This window comes from Homo sapiens, chromosome 9, assembly GCF_000001405.40.
Source record: "Homo sapiens chromosome 9, GRCh38.p14 Primary Assembly".
Classification (NCBI taxonomy): Eukaryota; Metazoa; Chordata; class Mammalia; order Primates; family Hominidae; genus Homo; species Homo sapiens.
This window is the reverse complement of record NC_000009.12, coordinates 125,117,666-125,144,442: the sequence shown is the minus strand read 5'-3', so window position 1 is coordinate 125,144,442 and position 26,777 is coordinate 125,117,666. Positions and strand designations below refer to the sequence as shown.

At 44.9% G+C, this 26,777-nt stretch overlaps 1 protein-coding gene across 6 annotated transcripts in view, besides 1 other annotated feature; it reads left to right on the top strand.

Moving 5' to 3' along the window:
- Positions 797 to 1,296: a silencer, noted in NCBI's record as "silent region_20274". NCBI's record gives its function as "represses an Ori minimal core promoter by ATAC-STARR-seq in GM12878 lymphoblastoid cells {active_cell/tissue: GM12878}" and the evidence as "EXISTENCE:reporter gene assay evidence [ECO:0000049][PMID:35858748]".
- The window catches only part of SCAI (suppressor of cancer cell invasion), a 200,921-nt gene continuing 175,058 nt past the window's right edge, over positions 915 to 26,777 (top strand). For all 6 annotated transcript variants that reach the window (XR_007061282.1, XR_007061281.1, XR_007061283.1 and 3 more), the window contains exons 1-2: positions 915 to 1,058; positions 1,766 to 1,810. Coding sequence is in view for 2 of the 6 variants with exons in the window: in NM_001144877.3 (NP_001138349.1) it covers positions 1,006 to 1,058; positions 1,766 to 1,810 (98 nt within the window). In the remaining 4 variants the exon portion in view is untranslated. The remainder of the gene's footprint in view (positions 1,059 to 1,765; positions 1,811 to 26,777) is intronic.

The following is a 26,777-nucleotide window of genomic DNA, read 5'->3' as shown; positions in this document are numbered from 1 at the left end:
TTTATAATACGTTAATGAGCTGAGTCTTATTTTCAAGGATGGCTTTGTTAAAGCAGAAGAAGGGTAACTATGCTTATGAAAGGCAGTTTTGCATGCCTGTTTGTCAAAAAATACAGTACAATTTATTTTAAAATTGATTAATTGGTGTAGAACTTGCAATGGTCACACAATCAGGATGGTCAGCTTCCATTCAGGGATCAAATTTGTCCAGGCCTTTCAAAATGGAACACGTTGCTTTTAGTATGGCATTGGTTCTGTTTGTAGTGCTGATTTTTCTTTCATGGTAATTAAAAAAAAATCTTACTTTCTTAAAAGCCTGCACCCAAGCTAGTGAGCTTTTCTGCAGAGGATTGAGCATCCAAACCATGCTTTATTTTGGTGGATTCTTAGAGTTTTCTGGCTGGGTCCTTTTTGAGGGGTAGCTGTGAGCTGTGAGACAATTTCAGCAAGATGTAGGGACAAGGATCGCATTCGAGGTGGCTTAAAAGGAAACACGTTTGTGAGAGTTGCCTCACTGTCTCACCTGCTAGAAGAAATTGGGAGATTTCAGGGCTTGTTTTCGGTCCTGGCGTGGTGCAGAGGTGGAGGGGCGCCAGCAGGTGTGTGGTATGCAGGACGCAGAGCCAGGAGAACCTGGGGCAGGTGTCTGGAGCCGGGGGTGCAGTTCCTACTTTTAGACGCATGGTGGCGCTAGGGTCTCCTCCGGCCCTGCTAGCAATCTCTAAGGCACCTCCGCCGCCACCTGCAGTCTCAACCAAACCTCTGGGTGGGCAGCGCGGGATGTGACGGGCCGAGCGTCCAATCGACTGACAGATTTCCGTCCACACTACTGCTCTAGCCAATGGGAGCCGAGGAGAGGCGCGGAGGAGGCGGGCCCCGCGGCAAGCCTGGCAGAGGCGCGAGGCCCTCCTCCCGCCTCTCCGCCTACTCCAGCCTCCGCCGCCTCAGCTTCCCGAGCGAGCCCTGCGGCCGCCGGAGCAGCTCCCGCGGCGGAGCAGGAGCCGGATGGTCAGAGGAGCCCGGCAGCCCCAGCAGCCGCGGAGTCGCCTGGCCCCCAGGTGCGGGGGCTGGGTGGAGGCCGGGGTTGGGGATGGGGTGGGGGCCAGGGAGCGGGCCCAGGGGCAGCGGCTCGGGGCGGTGGAGCATTCGGGGCGCAGAGACCGGAGGGGCGGGGGGTGCAGGCTGGGGGGACCTTGGGGGCGCCTGCAGGCGGCGGCGCGGGCTGGGCGCGATCGCCTCCTCGAGGCCAGGTGAGAGGGGCGTGTGAGGGAAGGGGCGCCGAGGGGTGAGGCTGGCGGCGCGGGGCCGGGAGGGGCAAGGCGGGCGCGCCCCCGGAGGGGCCGTGGAATGCGGGGGTCGCCGGGCCCGGAGAGGCGGGGCGTGGAGGGGGCAGTGCACGGTCGGGAACGGGTGGGCACAGGAAAGGGGAGGCTAGGGGGGCTTGCGGGGGTGACGAGGCAGACAATGAGTAGGTGGAGGTGGGTGATTTTGGGGAGCTGGGCTGTGACGAGCAGGGGTCGAGGATGGGGTGAGGGACCAGGAAGGTTTGAGCTCAGGGGGAATTGGGGGAACGGTGAGTCCCAGGAATGCTAGGTCTTGGTAAATAGGGGAAACAGGGCATGAGGCGTTTGTAAGGTCAGATCTGGGCTTGGCGAGCCTGTGGTCCCAGAGGGTGGTCTATTTAGTTCTTGACTGGCACGGTAGCGCCGGGAGATGTTTTCTTGTATGTTACTTTTAGTTACCGTCTTATTTGTTTGGTCTGCAGACTGACTGGCACAGTGGAGAAACCGCCTCGAAAACGGAGAAGCAGGTAAGGCAGTGCCTTCCTATTTTGCTTCATGTTTTTCTTTTTGCTTGGCTGCACCTGTGCCGTACTGCATAATTGTATACTGTCAGTAGATGAAGTTTCTTATTTATCCCCCTTTTAAAAGAATATAACCACATGCATGATTTTTCTTTTGAGGACTTCAAATTACTACCTCTACAGTCGATTTTTTTTTTCTTGGTATCTAAGATAATGTGGGAAATCTTGAGAAATCCTACTTTTTTACTTTTTGATGTTGTGTAAGGATCTCAGCTATTTTTTTTTTTAACCTTAGCCATAATTTCATTTTCTCCAGCATCTCTGTTTAAAAAGCTCATCTTGGCTGGGGTGGCTCATGCCTTCAATCCCAGCTCTTTGGGAGGCTGAGGCAGGAGGATCATTTGAGCCTGGGAGTTCAAGACCAGTCTGGGCAACAGAGCAAGACTCCGTCTCTACAAAAAATTGAAAAACTAGCCGGTCCCATAAATATATACACCTACTATGTACCCACAAAAACAAAAAATTAAAAAAACAAAAACCAACTAGCTGAGCGGGTGTTGTGGACCTGTAGTCCCAGCTTCTCAAGAGGCTGAGGTGGGAGGATTGCTTGAGCCCAGGAAGTCAAGGCTGCAGTGATGCAGTGAGCCGTGATCATGCCACTGCACTCCAGTGTGGGGAACACAGCAAGACCCTGCCTCAAAAAATAAACTAATTTTATTGAGCATCTACTATGTGCCAAGTACTGTGTACGAATGCTCTATGTGTATCTTCTCCTGTAATCCTCAAAGAACCCTAAGAGAATATGTAGTGTCACTATTTTACAGAAGAGGGAACTGCGACACAGAGAGGCCAAATATTTACCCAAAATCATGCATCTAGTAAAAGATAAAACCAGGATTTGAATCCAGACAGTCTGACTCCAGAGCTTAAGCTCTTAACTGTTATACCATAATGCTGCTAATAAATATGCAATTGAAAGTAGGTTTTCTTATTGCTTTATCTTTTGTCGTTGGACACTGTGTAGTTAACTCGAATGGTTGAACCTTAGGAAAATAGAAGCAAAGAGTTTAAGTAGTCCACAAACAAAGTGAATTAGTCCTTGAGTAATGGAGATGAAGATATATTTATCACATAAACATTTTTGACTGCATTCCATGTGAGAGGTACTACATAGCAATTCTGTGTAGTCATTAGATGATTCCTTTTTCACAGATGTTGGCATTGACCTAGAGAAAGTAAGCTACTGTAGTTATGTGACCAGTAGGACTACTTTCATAGTTAATATCTGGCAAGTTAATGATGTTAATACACAGAAAACCTCAATAGTAAATAGACACGAAATGCTGATGGTGGAAGTGCCAACAGAGTTTCCTTGTCACACTTTAGGCCTGTACTGTCCAATCCAGTAACCATATGCAGGGTGAGCACTCAAAATGCATCTAGCATGACTGAGGAACTAAATTTTTAATTTTATTTAATTGTAATTAAATTAACTTGAGAAACTGCTACTTGATCAGCTATTGGAAAACGTTCAAGTATGTTTTGAACAACTTGGGTATGTGAGTCTGTATTTTTCATCCGTCATTTTATGAAATCTAAGTATATATCAAATATTTCCAATGAGAATTTAGGGTCTGAAATGAGATAAGTATAAAATACATGCTAGATTTCAAGTTAGTACAAAAATTGAATAAATAAAATTTCTCAGTAACTTTTTATATTGATGACATAGTGAGACAATATTTTAGGTATATTGGAGTAAATACTTTTTTTTTTTTTTGAGACAGGGTCTGGCTCTGTCATCCAGGCTGTAGTGCAGTGGTGCAATCTCAGCATACTGCAACCTCCACCTCCTGGGCTCAAGCCACCCAGCCAATTCAGCCTCTGGAGTAGCTGGGACTACAAGCGCCTGACACCTCACCCAGCTCTTTTTTTTTTTTTTTTTTTTGTAGAGACAAGGTTTGGCCATGTTGCCCAGGCTGGTCTCAAACTCCTGGGCTCAAATGATCCAACCACCTTGGCCTACTAAAGTGCTGTGATTACAAGTGTGAGCTGCCATGCCTGGCTGTAAATAAAATTGTTACTAAAATTATTTTCACTTACTTTTTCCTGAGACAAAGTCTTACTTTGTTGCCCGTACTGGAGTGCAGTGATGTGATCTTGACTCACTGCAATCTCCGCCTCCTGGGTTCAAGCAATTCTCTTTCCTCAGCCTCCCGATTAGCTGGGATTACAGGCGCCTGCCACCATGCCCGGCTAATTTTTGTATTTTTAGTAGAGACGGGGTTTCAACATGTTGGCCAGGCTGGTCTTGAACTCCTGGCCTCAAGTGCTCTGTCTGACTAGGCCTCCCAAAGTGCTGGGATTACAGGTGTGAGCCACCGGGCCTGGCCTTCACTTACTTCTTTTTCCTTTTTATTTTTCTTCTGAGACAGGGCTTGGCTCTGTTGTCAAGGCTGAAGTGAAGTGGTGCAATCACAGCTCACTGCAGCCTCGACCTGGTAATCCTTCCACCTCAGCCTCCCAAGTACCTGGGACTACAGATGTGCACCACCATGCCAGGCTAACTTTTTATTTTTTGTAAGAGACAGGGTCTCACTGTGTTGCTCAGGCTGGTCTCCTGTGCTCAAGTGATGCGCCAGCCTTGGCCTCCCAAAGTGCTAGGATTACAGGCGTGAGCCACCATACCCAGCCTTTCTTTTTATTTTTTCTAATATGGCTACTAGAAAATTAAAAGCTGCATACATTTAACTTGCATTGTATTTCTTTGCATTGTATTTCTTTTGGATAGCTCTCATTTAACTCTCATTACCCCACTGCCAGACTCTTCAGTAGCCTTCTGACTGGTTTCCCTACCTTGAATCTGTAATTCCCTCCCTGTACTGTGCAAATCGATCTTGTAATTCTCATGCTTAGGATCCCTCTGTGCTTCCTCATTGCTTATTGAACATCATTCAGACTTTTAGCCTAATCATATAAAAAAATTGCCTTTATTTTACTTCTTCATACTTTCCCAGCCACGGTTAATACTTTGGCCATATCGATTTTCAATGATGGAACTATTAAATGTCTACTTTTAAATGATTTAACTTTCTGGTGAACCTTCAAGATGAATTAATTGCTGAATGTAACTCCGTGCTCCATTTGCCATTCCCAGAACTTATGTTCCCTCTTTGCTTTGGTTTTTTGTTTTTAGGGTTTTTGTTGTTTTTGTTGTTGTTGTTGTTGTTTTTTAAAGACGGTCTCACTTCAGGGTGGAGTGCAATGGTGTGACAATGGCTCACTGGAGCCTTGACTTCTCGGGCCCAGGTGATTTTCCCACCTCAGCCTCCCAAGTAGCTGGGACTACAGATGTGCATCACTATGCCCAGCTAATTTTTGCATTTTTTGTAGAGGTGGGGTTTTACCATGTTGCTCAGGCTGGTCGTGAACTCCTGGGCTTAAGCTATCTGCCTTCCTCAGACTCTCAAAGTGTTTGAATTATAGGCGTCAGCCACAGTACCTGGTCTGCTTTGGGTTTTTGTATGTGATTTCTTTTTCTTTCTGGAGTACTTTCTCCTTGCTCCTTGACAAGCCCCCTCCTTTAAGACTTTGCTCAGTGAGGGCTTCCCCCCACCCTCCCTCTGCTCCACCTTATTGGGTCCCATCATGGCCTGTACATACACTTACATGAAATGGTCTGGGCTGAATTTGAATTCAGCTCTGTCAAATGTAGTTTGCGAGATCATGTGCAAGTTAATAAGCCTGTCTCTGCCTCAGTTTCCTCATCTATATAGTAGAAATAATAGTTCTGCTGGCGTGGTGGCTCACGCCCGTAATCCCAGCACTTTGGGAGGTCAAGGTGGGCAGATCACCTGAGGTCGGGAGTTTGAGACCAGCCTGACCAACATGGAGAAACCCCATTTCTATTAAAAATACAAAATTGGGCCGGGCACGATGGCTCAATCCTGTAATCCCAGCACTTTGGGAGGCCAAGGCGGGCGGATCACAAGGTCAGGAGATCGAGACCATCCTGGCTAACACAGTGAAACCACGTCTCTACTAAAAACAAAAAAAATCAGCTGGACGTGGTGGCAGGTGCCTGTAGTCCCAGCTACTCAGGAGGCTGAGGCAGGAGAATGACGTGAACCCGGGAGGCAAAGCTTGCAGTGAGCTGAGCTCATACCACTGCACTCCAGCCTGGGCGACAGCGAGACTCCGCCTCAAAAAAAAAAAATTGGCTGGGCGTGGTAGCGCATGTCTGTAATCCCAGCTACTCGGGAGGCTGAGGCAGGAGAATCGCTTGGACCCAGGAAGTGGAGGTTGCAGTGAGCCGAGATTGCACCATTGCACTCCATCCTGGGCAACAAGAGCGAAACTCTGTCTCCAAAAAAAAAAAAAAAAAAAAAAGAAATAATAGTTCGACTTCCCCAAGGTTGTAAGGTGCCTAGGATAGTGCCTGGCACATAGAAGGTACACAATAAATTTTAGGTTAAAAAACACCCATCAAATATCTTTTATTTCCCACTTCTTTTCAAAATGAGAAGATTAAAAATAAAGGCCAAGAAGAAATGAAAGAAGCAGATAAAGCCAGTGGCAGAATTAGTGCATGGACCGGAAAGTCCTGCATCATTGCTAATGGTTGCTTTGGTGTTTGGCTCTGAGTTTTCTGGAGTAAAATGAAGAAGAAAATAAAGTTCAGTTTTCAGATTCATGGTATCTCTAAAATCAAACGTGAGTTTTTAAAGATTGCTTCTTGGCCAAGCGTGGTGGCTCACATCTGTAATCCCAGCACTTTGGGAGGCTGAGGCGGGTGGATCACCTGAGGTCAGGAGTTTGAGACCAGCCTGGCCAACATGACGAAACCCCATCTCTACTAAAAATACAAAAAATTAGCCGGGCATGGTGGCGCGTGCCTGTAATCACAGGTACTCAGGAGGCTGAGGCCAGAGAATCTCTTGAACCTGGGAGGTGGAGGTTGCGGTGAGCTGAGATTGCACCACTGCACTCCAGCCTGGGCAACAGAGTGAGACTCCGTCTTAAATAAATAAATAAAGATTGCTTCTTATACTTCTCAATCCAAGTGAGTTATTGCCAGTGAACAGTCTCCACGGGGCCAAAGCAATGTGGTTTTGGTATATGGCTCTCTGATGGTTTGGCTTGATTCAGAGGTAAAGAGGGATGCGTACACTGTGGGGACTATACGTGTTTTGTTCACTGTTTATCCCCAGCAGCTAGAATAGCATCTGGCACGTAGAGAACAGTTTATTGAATTTTTGAGTGAACAAATCCTTTAGTAATTCTCCAGGAATTTAAGTAAGCATCAGGTTGCAATGAGTTTATTTTCTCAGTCCAGAATCATGAGGCTACATATTCAGCATGCCTGATTTAGGTTAGATCCTGATCATGTCAGCATTTTGACCTGAATGGACAACCAGCACATGTATTTAAAGGTCCTATGGGCAGGACCAAGATTTTCCTCAGAAAACAGTGCAGGGGTTGCTCTAAAACTAGAAAACAAAATGTACAGTTAAGACCCCAAAGATGAATTATAGAATAAGGATGTAATGGTTGTAGCCAGATATTTAAAAAAATAGGTGTTAGGCCGGGCGCGGTGGCTCACACCTGTCATCCCAGCACTTTGGGAGGCCGAGGCGGGTGGATCACAAGGTCAGGAGTTCAAGACCAGCCTGACCAAGATGGTGAAACCCCATCTCTAAAAAATACAAAAATTAGTCAGGCACAATGGCGCATGCCTGTAATCCCAGTTACTTGCGAGGCTGAGGCAGGAGAATCACTTGAACCTGGGAGAAGGTTGCAGTGAGCCGAGATCGCTGCACTCTAGCCTGGGTGACAGAGCAAGACTTCGTCTCAAAAAAAAAAAAAAAAAGTGGTATTAGTTGCCGGGCATGCTGGCTCACACCTGTAATCCCAGCACTTTGGGAGGCCCAGGCTGGCAGATCACGAGGTCAGGAGTTTGAGACCAGTCTGGCCAATGTAGCGAAACCCCGTCTCTACTAAAAGTACAAAAATTAGCCGGGCGTGGTGGCAGGCAGCTGTAATCCTAGCTACTCAGGAGGCTGGGGCGGGAGAATCGCTTCAACCTGGGAGGCAGAGGTTGCAGTGAGCTGAGACCACGCCATTGCACTCCAGCCTGGGCGACAAAGCGAGACTCCATCTCAAAAAAAAAAAAAAAAAAAAAAGAAAGGTATTAGTATCAGTTTTATACTGTGGCTATAGAAATTCTGAATATCAAATGATATAAATTCCTGGTAAACACTTCAAGATGAATTAATTGAGGCAGATGAATGGTGTGAGCCCAGGAGTTCAAGACCAGTCTGGGCAACATGGTGAAACCTCATCTCTACCAAAAATACGAAAATTAGCCAGGTGTGGTGGTACACACCTGTAGTCCCAGCTAGTTGGGAGGCTGAGGTGGGAGGATCAGCTGAGACTGGGAGGTGGAGGCTGCAGTGAGCCATGATTGCACCACTGCACTCCAGCCTGGGCAACAGTGAAAACCTGTCTCAAAAAAAAAAAAAAAGGTAAGTTAATTGTTGAATGTAGCCTTGAGTAACTGATTGAACGGGTCTGCTATGTAGAGTTGTTGACAGTTATATTACATATGTAGTACATTTTAGAAAACAGTTGACAGAATTATGGTTTTTTTTTTGTTTTTTTTTTTTTTGTTTGAGATGGAGTTTTGCTTGTTGACCAGGCTGGAGTGCAATGGTGTGATCTCGGCTCACTGCAGCCTCTGCCTCCTGGGTTCAAGTGATCCTCCTGCCTCAGCCTCCTGAGTAGCTGGGATTACAGACATGCGCCACCACACCCAGCTAATTTTGTATTTTTAGTAGAGATGGGGTTTCTCCATGTTCGTTAGGCTGGTCTTGAATTCCTGACCTCCGGTGATCCGTCCGCCTTGGCCTCCCAAAGTGCTGGGATTACAGGCATGAGCCACCATGCCCAGCCCAGAATTAGGATTTTAAAAATTTTTATTTAGTTTTGAGATGGAGTCTCACTCTGTTTCCCAGACCGGAGTGCAGTCATGCTATCTCGGTTCACAGCAACCTCTGCCTCCTGGGTTCAAGTGGTTCTTGTGCCTCTGCCTCCTGAATACCTGAGATTACAGGGGCGCACCACCATGCCCAGCTAATTTTTTCTGTTTTTAGTAGAGGCGGGGTTTCCCCATGGTGGCTAGGCTGATCTCGAACTCCTGGCCTCAATTGATCCGCCTGCCTTGGCCTCCCAAAGTGCTGGGATTACAGGCGTGAGCCATCGTGCCTGGCCTAAAATTATGATTTTTATTTTAGGATATTGATGTTAAATAATTCTTTTTGATAGGTGTTAGTTAGTGGCTGAGTTATCTTTTGAGAACATTTCTAGTGCAGACCAAACTGTAAGACAGTTTAAGAAAAACAAAGACAGTTTGAGATAAGAACCTCATGCATTATTATTTCTTTGTATCTTTTTCCCCTTAAAACTTTTATTTCCTTATCATAGTTCATCTTTGCACCCTTATAAGGTACTAAGGGGGAGCTCAGTAAAACTAGTGAACCAATAAATGAATTGGTGGCAAGAGGAGTTAGTGTGGGATGGGTTTGGTTGTCCAAAATAATGTGATACTATTTAATGCCCCTGAAAAACTGCAATGGACTGAAAGGAGTTTTAAGATTAGGAAACTGGCCGGGCGTGGTGGCTCATGCCTGTAATCTCAGCATTTTGGGAGGCTGAGGCGGGCGGATCACCTAAGGCTGGAAGTTCAAGACCAGCCTGACCAACATGGAGAAACCCCGTCTCTACTAAAAATACAAAATTAGCCTGGCGTGGTGGCGCATGCCTGTAATCCCAGCTACTCAGGAGGCTGAGGCAGGAGAATCGCTGGAAACTGGGAGGCGGAGGTTGCAGAGAGCCGAGATCGTGCCATTGCACTCTAGCCTGGGCAACAAGAGCGAAACTCCATCTCACACACACACAAAAAAGATTAGGAAACTTGGTCTCTATGTGCTTTTGGAAAATTCTGAAGAGTCCAATATGTCTGTTAATGATGTTTGGGTTATGAGTTGGAGAATCCTTTCTGGTCCTATTAGGAACAAGATCCATTTGTTTGGATAGGATTCACATTGATGAAAGCTTTACTGTATGATTTGGGGGCTTTTGTTGTTGTTGTTGTTGTTACATATTTAAAGCAAAGAGATCCGGGCATTTTGTTGTTGTATGTAATTTGTTTAAGAAACATTTGAATGCTTTCTAGTTCTGGGTTCTAGGGATATAGATATGAGTGAGGTGGCCGTTGTTGGGGAAAATCTCATGTATTAATGGGAAGACAGACACTGAAATATGAGACAGTGTAATGACTTTGTATATATACAAAGGTTTACACAGTACATACAAAGGGTTTATAGGAATTCTGCATAGTGGTAGTGAGGGCAGTTTCTGCAGTCATTTATCTAAGCCCTGAAGGTTTAGAAGGTTAATTTGTTGGTAGTGTGACTATTGAAATGACAAGAGATGACAGCCTAGATGTAGACTGACTAATAATGAGGTCTTGGGTGAACTAAATTCAGGACCTGAACCAAGATAGTGCCAGAAGTGGAAAGAAAGATGTTTTTAAGAGCTTGGGCTGTGGTGTCAGACTAAGGGGTGGTTCTCAACTAAGGGGGTTTTGCCTCCTAAGGGACATTTGAGAATGTCTGGAGACATTTTGGGTTGTTACAACTTGGAGCACCTAGTGAGTAGAGGCCAGATATACTGCTACACATCCTAAAATGCATGGGACAGCATCCTAATCTAAGAGTTCCCCAGCTCAAAATGTCATTAGTTCTGAGGCTGAGAAATCTTGCATTAGAGTTTGAATCCTAGCCCTTCCAAATGTCCTCACCAATACTTGGTCTTGTGATTCTTTCTTTTTTTTTTGTTTTTTGAACAGGTCTGTAGAGGTACAGTTGGCATACAGTGAGCTGTACATATTTGAAGTGTACAATTTGATAAGTTTTGAAATACATGTATACCCTTAAAACCACCACCATTGTTTGCCATTCTGTGGGTGTACACTGGTACGTGTCATTGTGGTTTTCATTTGCCTTTCCCTGATGACTGATAATGTTGAGTATCTTTTCATGTGCTAATTTGCCATTCATATAACTTAGTGAAGTATCCAAATCTTTTGCTCACTTTTTGTCAGTTGTTTGTCTTCTTACATAGTTGTAAGAGTTCTTTATGTATTCTAAAAACAAAATTTAAAAAAGCAAAATCTTTTTTTTTTGTTTTTGAGACGAAGTCTCACTTTATCACCCAGGCTGGAGTGCAGTGGTGTGATCTCATTTCACTGCACCCTCCGCCTCCCAGGTTCAAGTGATTCTCCTGCCTCAGCCTCTGTAGGAGCTGCGATTAAGGCGCCTGCTACCACACCCGGTGAATTTTTGTATTTTTAGTAGAGCTGGGGTTTCGCCATGTTGCCTAGGCTGGTCTCGAACTCCTGACCTCAAGTGATCTGCCCACAGCGGCCTCCCAAAGTGCTAGGATTACAGGTGTCAGCCACTGTGCCTGGCCACAAATTCATTATTAGGTATGTGTTTTGCTTATGTTTTCTCCCATGTATGGCTTGCCTTTTACTTTTCTCCACAGTATCTTGAGATGCTTGCAGCTTGAATAATAGGTTGGATGGGAATGCTTTTATTTATTTATTTATTTGTGAGATGGAGTCTCACTCTGTTGCCCAGGCTGGAGTGCAGTGGTGCGATCTTGGCTTACTGCAACCTCTGCCTCCCAAGTTCAAGTGATTCTCCTGCCTCAGCCTCCTGAGTAGCTGGGATTACAGGCGCGTGCCACCATGCCTGGCTAATTTGTATTTTTAGTAGAGATGGGGTTTCACCATGTTGGTCAGGCTGCTCTTGAACTCCTGTCCTCGTGATCTGCCTGCCTTGGCCTCCCAAAGTGCTGGGATTACAGGCATGAGCCACCGCACCAGCCTGAGAATGCTTTTAATTGAGACAGCAGACACAGGAGCAAGAGCAAGTTTGGGACGGTAAGAACATGAGTTTATTTTGGCTATATGGAGCGTAAGGTGCTTCAATGAACTGTCTTTAACCAGGCGGTTAAAAATATGGGTGTTTTGCAGAGAAGCAAGATAACGGCTTCAGGTATAGATTTTAAAGCATTCAGCAAACACGTGGTGATCCAAGTCATGCAAATGAATGGAATGGATCATTGGCTCATTGATCCATTGGATCACACCTGTAATCCAATGGCTGGATGCAGTGGCTCACACCTGTAATCCCAGCACTTTGGACGGCCGAGGTGGGTGGGTCATGAGGTCAGGAGTTTGAGACCAGCCTGGCTAACGTGATGAAACCCTTTCTCTACTAGAAATACAAAAACTAGCCAGGCGTGGTGGTACGTGCCTGTAATCCCAGCTACTCAGGAGGCTGAGGCAGGAGAATTGCTTAAACCCAGGAGCTGGTGGTTGCAGTGAGCCAAGATCGTGCCACTGCACCCTAACCTGGGTGACAGAGCATGACGCTGTCTCAAAAAAAAAAAAAAGGAAAAAAGAAAAGAAAATGAATGGGATAACCTAGCGAAAGCATGTTGAGTGAAATGCAAAGAAATAGAACGTACAGTAACACGGTGTAAAAATAGACCAAACTGCTTTCTGTCTTTTGGGTGTTATCTCTTTCTCTGCAGTGTTAATCTGTCCACTGCAGGGTATTTCTGTAGGTAGCCGTCAGACAGGTAGTGTTTATCTCCAGGAGTTTAGATCTCTGTACTCTTTGCTGAGAAACAGGTTCTGAAGGTAGTTTCTTGGAAAACTAGAACATTTTTCTAATCTACACTGAAACACAGGACTATTCTAGAGTTACAGAGCTCATGGTAGGTTTGCCTCAGCAACATCCGTACAGCAAATGCAGTGGTTTTGGTAAAGCCATTTCTTGTAGCATGGTCAGTGAAATCCTAGGGCATAAAGCTAAAATTCAGTTCTGTGAAAGCAGACTCTGCAGGGCCAAGATAGCATGGTCAGTGTATGCAGCATTTTCACGGTAATATTTTACTCAAGAATGAAACCTAGAAGAGTTAAGCAGTGATTTTCAAGGGCATTCAAAAAGAGCTCATAGGTCCTGTGGGACTCATTCAAGGGCTTCCTGGAGGGTAGAGTGCCAGGAGTTGCCAGAGGGAGGTTAACAAGCCTAGCCTCAGGCGCTACTCCTATATTTTATATATGTATATATGTTTATTTTTCTTTTTTTTTTTTTTTTGAGACGGAGTCTTGCTCTGTTGCCCAGGCTGGAGTGCAGTGGCACAATCTCGGCTCACTGCAACCTCCGCCTCCCGGGTTCCAGCGATTCTCCCTCCTCAGCCTCCCAAGTAGCTGGGATTACTGGTATCTCCCATCATGCCTGGCTAATTTTTTTTGTATTTTTGTAGAGATGGGGTTTCACCATGTTGGCCAGGCTGGTGTTGAACTCCTGACCTTAGGTGATCCACCCGCCTCGGCCTCCCAAAGTGTTTGGATTACAGGCGTGAGCCACTGCGCCCAGTGCTAATAATTTTTTAAAAAAATATCTGTTTGTTAGCTGGATGTGGTGTTCTTGCACCTGTAGTCCCAGTCCCAGGTATTTGGGAGGCCGAGGTAGGAGCATCACTTGAGCCCAGGAGTGAGTTAATGCCCAGCCTGCACAATATAGTGAGACCTCTGTCTCCAAAAAAAAAAAAAAAAAAAAAAAAAAGCGGTTCAAACCAAGATCCAGATAAGGTTCATAACTTGTAATTAGTTGAGTAGCTCTTGAAGTCTTTTTTAGTCTATAGCTTTTCCACTCATTTTTTCCTGTACTATTTATTTTTTGAAGAAAGCATGTTCGTTATTAAGAGTTTTCCAGTCTTGGCCGGGCACAGTGGGTCACACCTGTAATCCCAGTACTTTGGGAGGCTGAGGCGGGCAGATCATGAGGTCAGGTCTCTACTAAAAGACAAAAAAAAAAAAAATTAGCCGGGATTGGTGGTGTGCAGCTGTAGTCCTAGCTACCCAGGAGGCTGAGTCAGGGGAATCGCTCCAACCCGGGAGGTAGAGGTTGCAGTGAACTGAGATTGTGCCACTGCACTCCAGCCTGGCAACAGAGCCAGACTCCATCTCAAAGAAAAAAAAAAGAGGTTTTCAGTCTGAATTTTTAATTTTTAAAAAAGTTGGTATATAATTTACATAGGGTGAAATTCACCTGTTTTAGTTCTTTGAATTTTGACGAACCTAGTTGTGTAATCACAACTATAATCATAATATAGAACAGTTCCATCACTCCCCAAAATTCCCTTCTGTCCCCCCGACCAATTGGCAACCACTGACCAGTTTTTCCACAGTCTGAATTTTGCTGACTTTATGACCTCATGGTATCACTTAGCATGCTTCTCTGTTCCGTTTGTGTCTTGTAAATTGATAGAGTTAATTTGCTTTTTTGTTTTAAGAATGCTTTGGCTGGACGTGGTGGCTCATGCCTGTAATCCCAGCACTTTGGAAGGCCGAGGCGGGCGGATCACCTGAGGTCAGGAGTTCGAAACCAGCCTGGCCAACATGGCAAAACCCCGTCTCTACTAAAAATACAAAAATTAGCTGGGCGTGGTGGTGGGCGCCTATAATCCCAGCTACTCGGGTGGCTGAGGCAGGAGAATCGCTTGAACCCAGGAGGTGGAGGTTGCAGTGAGCCGAGATAGCATTACGGCACTCCACCCTGGGCAACAGAGCAAGACTCCATCTCAACAAAAAAAAAGAAAAGAAAAGAAAAACTGCAGCATAGAAGTGATGTGAACTTTCATTAAAGCTTCTCTTTTTTATGTTAGGAACCCATAGTAATCGGTATCTAGATTTATGAATTCATTAGGGTTGCAAATGTTGAAATTCTAATTGTTTTGCCCATGCGTGGTGGCTCACACCTGTAATCCCAGCACTTTGGGAGGCTGAGGCTGGTGGATCACCTGAGGACAGGAGTTCAAGACCAGCCTGGCCAACATGGTGAAACCCCATCTCTATTGAAAATACAAAAATCAGCCAGGTGTGGTGGCACGTGCCTGTAATCCCATCTACTTGGTAGGCTGATGCAGGAGAATCACTTGAACCCGGGAGGTGGAGGTTGCAGTGAGCCAAGATCATGCCACTGCACTCCAGCCTGGGTGACAGAGTGAGGCTCTGTCTCAAAAAAAAAAAAAAAAAAAAAAAAAAAGAAATTCTAATTCTTTCATTCCTTCTTTTTATTTATTTTTTTTAAGTTGGAGTCTGCGTGATCTCGGCTCACTGCAACCTCCGCCCCCTGGGTTCAAGCGATTCTCCTGCCTCAGCCAACTGAGTAGTTAGGATTACAGGCGTGCACCACCACTCCTGGCTAACTTTTGTATTTTTAGTAGAGACGGGGTTTCACCATGTTAACCAGGCTGGTCTGGAACTCCTGACCTCAAGTGATCGGCTCGCCTCAGCCTCTCAAAGTGCTAGGATTACAGGCGTGAGTGCCACTGTGCCTGTCTCATTCCCTCTTCATTATTAGCTGGAATACTTCCAGAAAGAGACATTTCCCTTACTGACTGAAACAATTTTTTGAATTTTATTTATTTATATATGAGAGGGAGTTTTGCTCTTGTTGCTTAGGCTGGAGTGCAATGGCGTGATCTCGGTGCACTGAAGTCTCCGCCTCCTGGATTCAAGCGATTCTCCTGCCTCAGTCTCCCGAATAGCTGGGATTAAAGTTGTGCACCACCACACCCAGCAAATTTTTATATTTTTAGTAAGGATGGGGTTTCTCCATGTTGGCCAGGCTGGTCGTGAACTCCTGACCTCAGGTGATAGACCTGCCTCAGACTCCCAAAATGCTGGGATTACAGGCGTGAGCCACTGTGCCCGGCCTGAATTCAATTATTTATTTTTTTTTTTTGAGACGGAGTTTCGCTCTGTCGCCCAGGCTGGAGTGCAGTGGCACAATCTCGGCTCACTGCAAGCTCTGCCTCCTGGGTTCATGCTATTCTCCTGCCTCAGCCTCCCAAGCAGCTGGGACCACAGGCACACACCACCACACCCGGCTAATTTTTTGTATTTTTAGTAGAGACGGCATTTCACTGTGTTAGCCAGGATGGTCTCGATCTCCTGACCTCGTGATCCACCCGCCTCGGACTCCCAAAGTGCTGGGATTACAGGCGTGAGCCACAGCGCCTGGCCATTTTTGTATTTTTAATAGAGATGGGGTTTCACCATGTTGGCCAGGCTGGTCTCGAACTCCTGACCTAAGGTGATCCACCTGCCTCAGCTCCACAAAGTGCTGGGATTACAAGTGTGGGCCACCGCACCCGGCCAAATTACCCGTATACATTTTAGAGAAGGGGGTCTTGCTCTGTTGCCCAGGCTGGAGGGCAGTGCCACAGTCACAGCTTACAGCACCTTGAACGCCTGGGCTCAAGCAGTCCTCCCACCTCAACCTCCTGAGTAGCTGGTGCCATGTGCCACTGTGCCCGGCAGGTTTTTTATTTTTAAAAATTGTTTGTATTGATGGGTGTCTCACTTTGTTACCCAGGCTGGTTGCAAATTTCTGGCCTCAAGCAATCCTTCTGCCCCAGCCTCCCAAAGTTCTGGAATTATAGCTGTGAGCCACTCACTGCACCTGGCCTAGAATTTTTTTTTTTTTTGAGATGCAGTCTCACTCTGTTGGCCAGGCTGGAGTGCAGTGGTGTGATCTCAGCTCACTGAGACTTCCACCTCCTGGGTTCAAGCAATTCCCCTGTCTCAGCCTCCCGAGTAGCTGGGACTACAGGAACGCACCACCATATCTGGCTAATTTTTGTATTTTTAATAGAGACAGAGTTTTGCCATGTTGGCCAGGCTGGTCTCAAACTCCTGACCTCAGTTGATCCACCCACCTCTGCCTCCCAAAGTGCTGGGATTACAGGCGTGTGCCACCTCGTTCGGCCGGAAAAATCTTAAATGGAGCAGCTTGTTTGGAACTTTCTTTGAAACCACCAATATTACTTATTTGCAAAAGATATCCATAGGTTAGTACATTAATTGACTGTATAGCACATATGAATCTTACCTCATGAAATCAGGTAAGCAAAAAGTATTAACAATATTTTAATTCCTTTAAATGAAATCAAATTCTGCCCTTGGGGGCAGGTGTGGTGGCTCGTACCTGTAACCCCAGCACTTTGGGATTCTGAGGTGAGAGCGTAGTTTGAGCTCAGACTAGCCTGGGCAACATAATGAGAACCCGTCTCAAAAAAAAAAAAAAAAATTCTGCCCTGGGACCTTCTCCCCCTCAATTCTACCAAACTGGTTAGAAATACAATCTCAGTGATTAATAATAGAGATCCACCCCTCCTTAGAGTTATGTGAGACTCTAATAGGCTTTTGAGGTACCAGGAGAAGGGTGGAAGGTTGATTTTCAGCCTGTGCTGGATGTGACTGAGCACATTGTCTAAGAGGATATGAGGCGTTGAAGCCTGGGGATTCTGATGTACAGGCTTCAGCTTTGCTTGGTACAACACATGCCCATTTCTCTCTGAGGACTTGGGCACTGCTAGGACGTGGGGTTGCAGGTTCCCTTTTTGTGGATTCTGAAGGAATTCCTTCTTCTCAGATAAATTGCTCCCATTTTTCTTCTTATTTCTACCTAACCCCCAGCTCCCGCCAAAGGCACTCATTGTTCTACCCTTCTTCCCTCAGTATAATCTCCTCAAGGAGTTCATATTTTCAGAAAACATGCACAAACCTCCCTTGAGGCAAAGAAGCAAATAGGACTATCATCTTGGGGATTGGGAAGTACCATGATAATAAAACATCCATTGATGTCTTAATAACTTATCTGGCTACTTATATTTTCATCAGTAATTCTAGTCCCTGTAGTGGGACTTAATGATCTATCCAAAAATGATTTGATTTTCCCTTCTTTAAAAGATGGAGCTGAATTCTCCTCCCTTGAGTGTGGGCTGGACTTAGCGATGCACTTCTAGTGAATAGAACACAGGAGAAGTGATGAGATGTCTCTTCCCAGATTGGGTTTTTAAAAGACTGGTTTCTGCCTTGCATGTGTGTTCTCTCTCTCTCTCTCACACACACACACACACACACACCCACACCCACCCACCCACCTCACTTTGCGGGAGGCTAGCTGGCTAGCTCAGATTGGGTTTTAAAAAAACTGGCTTCTGCCTTGCATGTGTGTTCTGTCTCTCTCTCTCTGACTTCTGCCTTGCATGTGTGTTCTCTCTCTCTCTCACACACACACACACACACACACACACACACCCCCAACTCACTTTGGGGGAGGCTAACTCCATGGTATGAGGCAGCACTGCATAGAGGGAAGGCACTTGCCATGTTGTGAAGACAGCCACCCAGGCAGCCCATGGGGAGGGCCATGTGGTGAGGAAGTGAGGCCTGCCAGCAACCACAACAGCTAGCTTGGATGTAGATCTTCTGAGGCCTGCTGGCAGCCACATGACTGGCTCAGAAAAGTGAGCTTGAACAGGGATCCTCCTACTCTAGTTGAGCCTTGAGGATGACTATAGTCCAAGCCAACAGCTTGACTCATTGTCCTGGCTTCACAAGGGCTGAGTTATGTGAATCTGTGATTTTCCTTGGAGAGTCTCCTTTCTTCCAGCACTGGCTTCATTGTACCCAAGGGGCTCAATGTCCAGCTAAGATTTCTCTTATCCTGTATAGGTTTCTGATGGACAAAGAGAGAGAATGTGTGTGTGTGTGTGTGTGTGTGTGTGTGTGTGTGTGTGTACGTGTACGCACGCATGCATGAGAGAGAGAATATGTGTGTGTGTTTTGGAAGCAGCTATCTTTTTTTTTTTTTTTTTTGAGACAAAGTCTTTACTCTGTCGCCCAGGCTGGAGTGTAGTGGCGTGATCTTGGCTCACTGCAACCTCCGCCTCCCAGGTTCAAGTGATTCTCCTGCCTGAGCCCCTTGAGTAGCTGGGATTACAGTGCCTGCCACCATGCGTGGCTGATTTTTTTGTATTTTTTGTAGACACAGGGTTTTGTCATGTTGGCCAGGCTGATCTCAAACTCCTGACCTTAGGTGATTCACCCACCTTGGCCTTAAGAAGCAGATATCTTTTGATTAAAGGGCAGTTCAGTTTTATTTTTCTTTCTTTTTTTTTTGGAGATGGAGTATCACTCTGTTGCCCAGACTGGAGTGGAGTGGCACGATCTTGGCTCACTGCAACCTCCACCTCTTGGGTTCAAGCAATTCTCCTCTCTCAGCCACCTGAGTAGCTAGGATTACAGGCATGTGCCACTACACCTGGCTAATTTTGTATCTTTAGTAGAGACAGGGTTTCACCATGTTGGCCAGCCTAGTCTGGATCCTGACCTCATGATCCTCCCACCTCGGCCACTCAAAGTGCTGGGATTACAGGCGTGAGACACCGCGCCTGGCCTTCATTTTTAAATTTAATTTTATTTTTTTTAAGACAGAGTTTCGCTCTGTCTCTCAGGCTGGAGTGCAGTGGCGCCATCTCAGCTCACTGCAACTTCCACCTCCCGGATTTAAGCGATTCTCCTGCCTCAGCCTCCTGAGTAGCTGGGACTACAGGTGTGCGCCACCATGCCTGGTTAATTTTTGTATTTTTTATACAGACGGTGTTTTGCCATGTTGACCAGGCTGGTCTGGAACCCCTGACCTCAGGTGATCTGCCCACCTTGGCCTCCCAAAGTGTTGGGATTACAGGCGTGAGCCTCCCACACAGATTGGGAGGTAGTCCTCTGCTCTTGTTTGCCTTGTTAAGGGAAGGGCCGTAAGGTAGTTATCCAGTGAAGAGTCAGTTTTCTTCTGCCTGCTCTCTCTCACCAGGCTTTAAACTCTTTTTCAACCCCTTTTCTTGGCTTTTTGGGAAGAGTGGGCAAAATAGAGCCAAGTCAGTTATGATGGTTCATTTTATGTGTCAACTTGACTGGGCCACTGAGTGCCCAGACATTTGGTCAAACATTATCTTAGGTGTGTCTGTGAGGATGTTTCTGGATGAAATTAATATTTGAAGTGATTGAGTAAAACGGATACCCTTCCGAGTCTGGGTGAGCCTCATCCAATCATTTGAAGACCTGGCTAGAACAAAAAGACTGAGCAAGAGGGAGCTTCTCCTGCCTGACTCCTTGAGCTGGGACATCAGTGTTTTCCTGCCTTTGGACTTGAACCAAAACTTTGGCTCTTGAGCATGGTAGCTGTTGTATTGGAACTTGCGCCATTGATTCCCTTGGTTCTCAGGCCTTTAGACTTGGACTGCAACTAGACCATAGGCTCTCTTGGGTCTCTAGCTTACTGACTGACAATCTTGGGACTTTTCAGCCTCCATAATTGCATGAGCCAATTCCTTTTAATAAATATCTTTTTAAATATATATACCTCTGTCTCTGTCTCTCTACCTCTACCTCTGTCTCTCTCCTGTTGATTCTGTTTCTCTGGAGAGCCCTGACTAATATATAAGCCTAGTCTTTTATTGCCTTACTTTTGTCTCATTTCAGGTTTTTCAGAGTGCTCCTAATCTCTGAGAACTTCTGCATTACTGGCTTAATTCTCTGCATTGACGCAGTCTGTCATGAAATGGCTATCTTCATGACAAACCAAGCAAAAGGAGAGGTGCTTGGGTTTTCATAAACTTGGCAGCTGTTTTGGAAACATTTTACTCTAAGGCTAGGCACCACTGTTTGTATTCTTATTTTGCATTTGGGGTTTCTTTCTCCTAAGTTCTCTCTCCATATATTCTCCTGGCCTGGAAGGCATGTGTGCCTGTTTGACAGTGTCCTGGAAATTCTTTTCTAGACGGGGAGTGCATGTTGAAGGTGCTCACACGTGGTTTCCTAAAATCCTGCAAAGTGGCAGTTAGGACTTTTGTTTGTTTGTTTGTTTCTTTGTTTCTTTGAGACGGAGTCTCACTCTCGCCCAGGCTGGAGTGCAGTGGCGTGATCTCGGCTCACTGCAACCTCTGCCTCTCGGGTTCAAGCGATTCTCCTGCCTCAGCCTCCCAAGTAGCTGAGATTCCAGGTGCCCGCCACCATGCCCGGCTAATTTTTTGTATTTTTAGTAGAGACGGGGTTTCACGTGTTAGCTAGGATGTTCTCGATCTCCTGACCTCGTGATCCACCTGCCTCGGCCTCCCGAAGTGCTGGGATTACAGGCGTGAGCCACCACACCCGGCCTGCCAGTTAGGACTTTTAAACTCTTAGGATAATTTCCAAACTATAGAGTCATCATGTATAGATTTTCAGAGAACAACTGCCAAAAATAAAGATTTTAGATTTAGAATTGTTGACATAAGCCTTTTTTTTTTTGAGTTGGAGTCTCACTCTCTTGGCCAGTCTGGAGTGTAGTGGTGCAATCTCAGCCCACTGCAACCTCCATCTCCCCAGTTCAGGCAATTCTCCTGCCTCAGCCTCCCGAGTTGCTGGGACTACAGGCACGTGCCACCACACCTGGCTGATTTTTTGTAGTTTTATTAGAGACAGAGTTTTACCATGTCTCTCAGGCTGGTCTTGAACTCCTGAGCACAGGCAATCTGCCTACCTTGGCCTCCCAGAGTGCTAGGATTGCAAGTGTGAGCCACTGAGCCTGTCGTAGCCTGTCTTTCTAACAATAGATAAGCAAGCTGTTTTTCTATTGAGGTAACACCTGGCTGGTGATAATAAAATTGTCATCAAGTAAAAGGATTCTTACTTTTGTATAAAATAGGAATATGCATCTATATGTCCAAAACAGGTTTTTAAAATTTTACTAATTTATTTATTTTTGAGACAGGGTCTCACTCCAGTCACCTGGGCTGCAATGCGGTGGTGCGATCTTGGCTCACTGCAGCCTTGACTTACTGGGATGGAGTAATCCTCCCACCCTAGCCTCTGAAGTAGCTGGGACCACTGTCACATACCACTACGCCCAGAAAATTTTTTGTATTTTTGGTAGAGACAGGGCTTTGCCATGTTGTCCAGGCTGGTCTCGAACTCCTGGGCTCAAGCAATCCACCCGCCTCGGCCTCCCAAAGTGTTGGGATTACTGGCGTGAGCCACTGCACAGTGCACAACCAGCTTTTTTTTTTTTTTTTTTTTTTTTTTGAGATGGAGTCTCACTCTGTTGCCCAGGCTGGAGTGCAGTAGCGCAATCTTGGTTCACTGCAACCTCTGCCTCCTGGGTTCAAGTGATTCTCCTGCCTCAGCCTCCTGAGTAGCTAGGATTACAGGAGTCTGCCACCACACCTGGATACTTTTTGTATTTTTAGTAGAGATGGAGTTTCACCATCTTGGCCAGGCTGGTCTTGAACTCCTGACCTCGTGGTCCACCCGCCTCGACCTCCCAAAGTGCTGGGATCATAGGCATGAGCCACCGTGCCTGGCCCACAACCAGTTTTAAATCATTAAGATATAAGTTAAAAAGAAGAGGAAAATGTTTTAAATAATTTATAAGAGAATTATAGAATCTGTATTGAGAGACTACTCAGTCCAACCGAAAGCATAGTAGGAGAAATCCTAGTGTAATCACATTCCTGAAAATGAAGTCCTTAAAAATTTCTTAGTCTTAGTCTTTTCACATATAGTTCACTTACATATTTACCAATGACATACATGTATTTAGTGTTTCCTAAGAATTTTATCCAAATTGCCTGTCTCATGTACATGCTGTTGTATATAAATGCCCTTGTGACAAAATACAAATAACATTTCGTAGAGGTGTCAGTGAAATTGTGATACTTCTGTCATTGATTTTTTCAATAACTAGATGATAAAATCACAGTTGTCATATAGATGTTCATAGCATTTTTACTCTTTATTTTTTATTTATTTATTTTTTTGAGACTGAGTCTTGCTCTGTTGCCCAGGCTGGAGTGCAGTGGCATGATCTCCCGGCTCATTGCAACCTCTACCTCCCAGGTTCAAGCAATTCTCATGCCTCAGCCTCCCAAGTGGCTGGGACTACAGGGGTGTGCCACCATGCCTGGCTAATTTTTGTGTTCTTTTAGTAGAGATGGGGTTTCACCATGTTGGCCAGGCTGGTCTCAAACTCCTGACCTCAGGTGATCTACCCATCTTGGCCTCTCAAAGTGCTGGGATTACAGGCTTGAGCCACCATGTCCAGCCTGGATTTTTACTCTTAAAAAAAGGTTCTTATGTTTGAAAATGTTGGAAACCACTAGATTAAATTATCTCTGGAGCCAGTTCTAGCCATTTCCAAAGTGGAAAAGGACTTTGGCTTAAGGGTGGAGCCTTTGCATAAGGATGTGTTCAAAGAGGATAGTACAGCATGCTGGTGACACCCCCAGAGCTTTGGCAGGTTTCTAGTCACTACTTTTCTTTGTCTTTCTTTTTAAATTCCTACATGCCCCAGAGGTTTGATTCATCTTTTTTCCAGCATCTCGTATGTCATCTATTGTTCTCTCCACCCATAAACCCTCAACTGAAACAGGATGCAGGTGGCTTAGCTTTTTCTTTACCTTGTTCACGCTGAAACTATTTGACACTATTTCACTTTTAAGGATTTTTACTGCTGTTAACAACAGAGAATGAAATGAATGAATACAAATTTGCACAATTTAGAATTTTATTAAAAATGAGAATTTCTTATCCTTCATTGAAATGTAAACAAAAAAATTTCAGTTTTTTAGTAGTTGCTAGGATAATGGCAGTAGACTAAGTGGTGTCAAAAGTTTCTTCCAACTCTGTATTTAATTTTTAGTGGCAGATTACTCATGTTTCCTTATTTTATCACTCTTTTTTTTCTGGGAAGTCCCTAAATGTCCTCTCTCCTATTTTTCTTTTTCTTTTTTTGAGATGAAGTCTTACTCTGTCACTCAGGCTGGAGTGCAGTGGCATGATCTTGGCACACTGCAGCCTCTACCTCCTGGGTTCAAGCAGTCAAGCGATCCTCCTGCCTTAGCCTCCTGAGTAGCTGGAACTACAGGCGTATGCCACCATGCCAGGCTAATTTTTTATACTTATTTATTTGTTTGTTTGTTTGAGATGGAGTCTTGTTCTGTTGTCCAGGCTAGAGTGCAGTGGTGCGATCTCAGTTCACTGCAACCTCTGCCTCCTGGGTTCAAGTGATTCTCCTGCCTCAGCCTCCCGAGTAGCTGGGATTACAGGCGCCTGCCACCATGTCTGGCTAATTTTTGTATTTTTAGTAGAGACGGGATTTCTCCATGTTGGCCAGGCTGGTCTCGAACTCCTGACCTCAGGTGATTCACCCACCTTGGCCTCCCAAAGTGCTGGGACTGCAGGCGTGAGCCACTGCGCCTGGCTCTTCCTCCTGTTTTTCTTTATCATTTGACTCTGAGGATAATTACTTGTAGGCCATTGAATTCATTTCATCATGGGGAGGAGAAACTCCAGGTTATTGTCTTTAATCTCTTTACTCCTTGTTTTTTACAGGAAAACTCTACTTAATAAAAACCAATAAATACTATTAACAAAAAGTCAACTTTGGTATATTCTGGCATACAACCAATGTATTGGTATGACAGATTGTATTTGCCAAATGTGTCTACAGCAGTATCGTTCATTTTACATGTTCTACCTACAATGTCATCTTCACACTCCTCCCATCTAGTGGTGAAGCCTGTGTCTCAGTCTCTTAACCAGAGCAGACTTTTGTAAATGCCTTTACCAGTAGAGCATGGCTCAAACGACGTGTCACGTTTAGGGCTAGGTTATAAAAATGCCATGGATTTCTAACTTTCTCTCTGGAGTGTCACTTTTGGAATCTGGCTACTATGTGAGGAGCCCAAGCAACTAGGAGTGGCCTGTGTAAGAGGGAAACTGAAGCTCCTGACTCTCAGCCCCAGCTGAGCTCCCAGCTGACATCTGGGATCAGCTTGCCAGCCATGTGAGTGAGCTGTCCTAAAAGCAGATCCTAATCTTCTAGTTCCCCATCACAGTGCCCTAATGAGTGCTTATGTAGTGTTTATATGTAGAGCAGAGATGAGTTGTTCCTGTCAAACTCTACCCAAATTGCAGATTCATGAGCACAATAAAAGATTGTTTTAAGCCACTAAGTTATGTAGCAGGGGATAACTGGATTAGCATTCCATTTTGCCGGAGTTTAGAGATCATACTATACGTTGAACTGTAAGAACAAGAACAAGATGTATTTCTACCTTCAGGAGCACTGTTAGTTTTATAAGAGAAGAAATATGGATTATGTGTCCCCTTCCTTTATAGATTGTTATTTCACTGTCTTTCATTTTACATATTTATTAAATTATTATTTTTTTTAACTAAAGAGCAGTACAAAACAAGAAATCAAATATTGGACAACAATATTGCTGCCTAGATAACTCCATTTTCATGTACTTCTAGTTTAGAAGGTTGTGTGCATGTTAATAAGCAGTGACTTCGGAATGATTCAGACCACATGTGTGACCGTGAAGGCAGTATCCTCTTTGTAAATCAGTTGATCTATAAAATGGTATGTACTTCATGGGTTTGCTTTGAGACTTCAATGATATTACCTGCCACAAAATATTGGCTGTTCATTACTACTGCTCCCCCATCCCCCGCCAACAATAGAGATGGGATCTTGGTCTTGTCATGTTGCCCAGGCTGGTCTTCAATTTGTGGGCTTAGGTAATCCTCCTGCCTTGGCCTCTCAAAGTGCTGGGATTACAGGTGTGTGCCACCACACCCAGCCTGGACTTTTTGATAGTAAGTGATTAGGCAGTGATACAATAGCAAAGACATGGAACCAGTTCAAATGCCCATCAATGATAGACTGGATAAAGAAAATGTGGTGCATATACACCATGGAATACTATGCATCCATAAAAAGGAGTGAGATCATGTCCTTTGCAGGGACATGGATAAAGCTGGAAGCCATCATCCTCAGCAGACTAACACAGGAACAGAAAACCGAACACTGCATGTTCTCACTCATAAGTGGGAGCTGAACAAGGAGAACACATGGACACAGGGAAGGGAACAACACTCATCGAGGCCATGTGGGGTGGGGGTGGTGAGGGGACGAAGAGCATCAGGACACAAATAGCTAATGTATACGGGGCTTAAAACCTAAATGACGGGTTGATAGGTGCAGCAAACCACCAAGGAACATGTATACCTGTGTAACAAACCTGCACATTCTACACATGTGAACTGTATTACCTGTTGTCATTATGCTTTATTTATTTATTTATTTATTTATTGAGACAGGGTCTCTGTCTCCCAGGCTGGAATGCAGTGGCAGGATCATAGCTCACTGTAGTCCTAAACTCTTGGGGTCAAGAGATCTCCTACCTCTGTCTTCCAAGTAGCTGGGACTACAGGTGCATGCCACCATGCCTGGTTAATTTTTTTATTTTTATTTTTTAGAGTTGTGGACTTGCTGTGTTTCTGAGGTTTGTCTTGAACTCTTGGCCTCAAATGATCCTCCTGTGCTGGCCTCTCAAAATGTTGGGATTACAGAATGTTGGGATTACAGAAGTGAGCCACCATGCTTGGCTCCACTATGTTTATTTTTTAACAAGCCTTTTAAATGTATTAATATTTTACATATAATGTGTAGATTTTAAGTGTTTAGTTCACTATGTGTTTTTTAAATCAATTTTTAATTGTTTAGTGATTAGTTGATTACAGGTAGCAGGCACTAAACCAAATGGAAGGAGGAGTCCAAGAGAGGATAACTTTTTTCGCAGAGTGCTAGTGCTTATTAGGGGATAAGGTTTATATATTACCTCATTAGAAGATGGGGGCATTATTCACATTTAGAAAGAGAAACTGAGACTTAGGAAATTAAAGTGATTGACCCAAAGTAACACAGCTAGGAAGTGGCACAGTCAAGACAAAACAGTTTTGTTTTGCTCTGTAAAATTTTTGCTATTACTGACTAGTGACATTGAAATTATTCAGAAAAACAAAACTTGGTAGAGATAATTTCCTGTGAGGGTTTATTGAAGTCCCATAAAATAAATGAAAGCAGCCCATGATAAGGAGGTCTTCTGGTTTCAAATGCTTCAAAGTTCCTCAAGCTTTTTTTTTTTTTTTTTTTTTTTT